Genomic DNA, 2,833 nt, shown 5'->3' with positions numbered 1-2,833 from the left:
TTTTTTTTTTCCAGACAGGGTCTCAGTCTGTTACACAGGCTGGAGTGCAGTGGTGCAATCTCAGCTCACTGCAACCTTTGCCTCCTGGGCTCAAGTGATCCTCCCACCTCAGCCTCCCAAGTACCTGAGACTACAGGTGCGCGCCACCACGCCCAGCTAATTTTTGTAGAGATGGCTTCTCACTATGTTGCCCAGGCTGGTCTTGAGCTCCTGAGCTCCAGCAGTCCTCCCGCCTCTGCCTCCCAAAGTGCTGGGATTACAGGCATGAGCCATCACACCCAGCCAGTTACACTCTCTTAGATTCCACATAGGAGTGAGATCCTGCGGGATTTTCTCCCTGTGCCTGGCTTATTTCACTTAGCATAACGTCCTCCAGGTTTATCCAGGCCATGCAAATGAAGGATTTTTTTCTTTTTTAGGCTGAATACTATTCAGTTATGTTATATGCCATGTTTTCTTTATCTACTTACCCACTGATGGACACTTAGGTTGTTTCATGTCTTGGCCATTGTGAGCAGTGCTACAGTGCACGTGGGGGGTGGGTGAAGATGTCTCTTTGACACACTGATTTCATTTCCTTTGGGTAGATAGCCAGCAGTGGGATTGCTGGATCGTATGGTAGTTTCATTTTTAATTTTTTGAGAATGTCCGTACAGTTTTCCATAATGACTGCGCTAATTCACATTCCCGCCAGCAGTATGCAAGGGCTGCCTCTCCTCCGCATCCTTGCCAGCACGTATCTTTCCTCTTTGATAACAGCCATTCTGACAGGTGCGAGTGGTGTCTCCTCCTTGTGGTTTTGATTTGCATTTCCCTGATGATTAGTAATGGAGCATGTTTTCATGTGGCTATTGGTCTTGTATTCTTACAGCACGTGACAGTTTCAAAACATGGTCATATACATTCTCTCAAACATGTGAATGAATGTGGCCCTCACTACAGGGTGTTCAGATGGTTAATTTTATGTGTCAACTTGGCCGGGCCTCAGGGTGCCCAGCTGTTTGGTCAAACAATATTCTGGGTGTTTGTGTGAGGATGTATTGGATGAGATTAACGTTTAAGTTGATGGACTTGGAGTAAAGGAGATTGTCCTCTGGAATATGGGTGGGCTTCAGCCAATCAGCTGAAGGCCTAAATGCAGTAAAAGGCTGACCTCCCCTGAGAAAGAAGGAATTCTGCCAGCCTTTGGACTTGAACCACGACGTGGGCTCTTCCCTGGGTCTCTAGCCTGCTGGCCCACTCTACAAATTTTGGACTTGTCAGCCTCCATAATTGTGTAAGCCAATTCCTTAAAGCCTGGTTTCTCTCTCTCGCTCTCTCTTTCTATACATATATATATATATATTCTATATCTATATCTATCTATGTAACTATATATCTGTATCTATCTATCTGTATTTTATTGACTCTGTCTGCAGACTCCTAACTAATACAGGTGGGTACTATCCCCATTTTACAGACAAAGATTAAATTGAGTCTCAGAAATGTGAGCTATGAATAAGATACTTCTTCATAGCTAGTGAAGAGAACCAAATCCAATGCTTCTAGACTTTCAACCTCGCAGGCTTTCCTTCACTGTCTGCTACCTTTGCTACCCCTCTGCTCTATAATCTTCAAGGATTTTTCACTGCTGAAGGCATCACGCCTGAACTCCTTTCCTTGGCATTTAGGTGCTGCACAGTATGGCTGCGTTTCCTCCTCTCCACTCAGGTATTTCTCCTCAGTGGCACCCCCCTCTGGCACCCACAAGGGAGAAGTAAAGATCTCCTAGTGGTGGCAGAGCCCATTATCCAACCTGGAGAGAAACAGATCATTCCGTAGGCTGACGCTATAATTAAAGGTTAAAGGTATAAATCTGCTGCGCAGATATGATGAAAAGAAAGCATCTCTTAGACTGGGTAGGTCTTTAAATGTAAGCTCCAAGGTGCATGTCCCTGCAGCCTGGAGGGCTGGCGCGTAGGTTCCTGACAGGCGCCAGGGGCCTCTGGTGACGGCGGTGCCCATGTGGCCACTCGCCAGGGCTGCACTGTCTGGAATGGTAGCCACTAGCATATCTGTTTCTTTACATTTTTTTTTTTTTGAGACGGAGTCTTGCTCTGTAGCCCAGGTTGGAGCGTAGTGGCGTGATCTTGGCTGCAATCTCCACCTCGTGGGTTCAAGCAATTCTCCTGCCTCAGCCTCCCAAGTAGCTGGGATTACAGGCACATGACACCACCCCTTTTTGTATTTTTAGTAGAGATGGGCTTTCACTATGTTGGCCAGGCTGGTCTTGAACTCGTGACCTCAGGTGATTCACCCGCCTCAGCCTCTCAAAGTGCTGGGATTACAGGCATGAGCCACCATGTCTGGCCTTTTACATTTAAATTAATGACGATGAAATAGAATTCGAACCTCAGTTCCTCAGGCACATTGGCCATGTTGTAAGTGCTGAGAAGCCCCCTCTGCTTGGCTAGTGGCTGCCATATTGAATGTCTCCATCACTGCAGAAAGTCAAACTGCAAAGCACTGAAGTAGAGAGACCAGTCCCAAGTATGGATCCCAAAGCCCTTGGTCACAGCTGGTTAGTGACAGAGCGAGGACTATGACAGAGAAGGCTGGGGCGAGAGGAGGCTGAGAGCCACAGACCCTTCCAGAAGGACAAAGGAAGCGTCCTCGTGGTTCATGGTGATTGTCTCTGCAATGCCTGGGGGCCAGAGAGAGTAGCCCCCGCCTCAGCTGGGAGGTGCCACCCAGGCCACGGCTCCAGCAGCCTGGGCTGCAGGCAGAAGTTTGGCTCTGCCCCCACACTCCCGGAGCCCCACCCCAGGAAGGCACAGTGGCAACACCACACTGA

At 48.4% G+C, this 2,833-nt stretch overlaps 1 annotated feature.

The window, feature by feature from the left end:
- Positions 1,974–2,474: an enhancer, noted in NCBI's record as "H3K4me1 hESC enhancer chr11:133863530-133864030 (GRCh37/hg19 assembly coordinates)". NCBI's record gives its function as "activates a minimal SCP1, AML or CMV promoter by ChIP-STARR-seq in primed H9 embryonic stem cells {active_cell/tissue: H9 hESC(primed)}" and the evidence as "EXISTENCE:reporter gene assay evidence [ECO:0000049][PMID:30033119]".

This window comes from Homo sapiens, chromosome 11 (genome assembly GCF_000001405.40).
Source record: "Homo sapiens chromosome 11, GRCh38.p14 Primary Assembly".
NCBI classification, from domain to species: Eukaryota; Metazoa; Chordata; class Mammalia; order Primates; family Hominidae; genus Homo; species Homo sapiens.
Note: the sequence above shows the minus strand (reverse complement) of the source record. Positions and strands in the feature narration are given on the sequence as shown.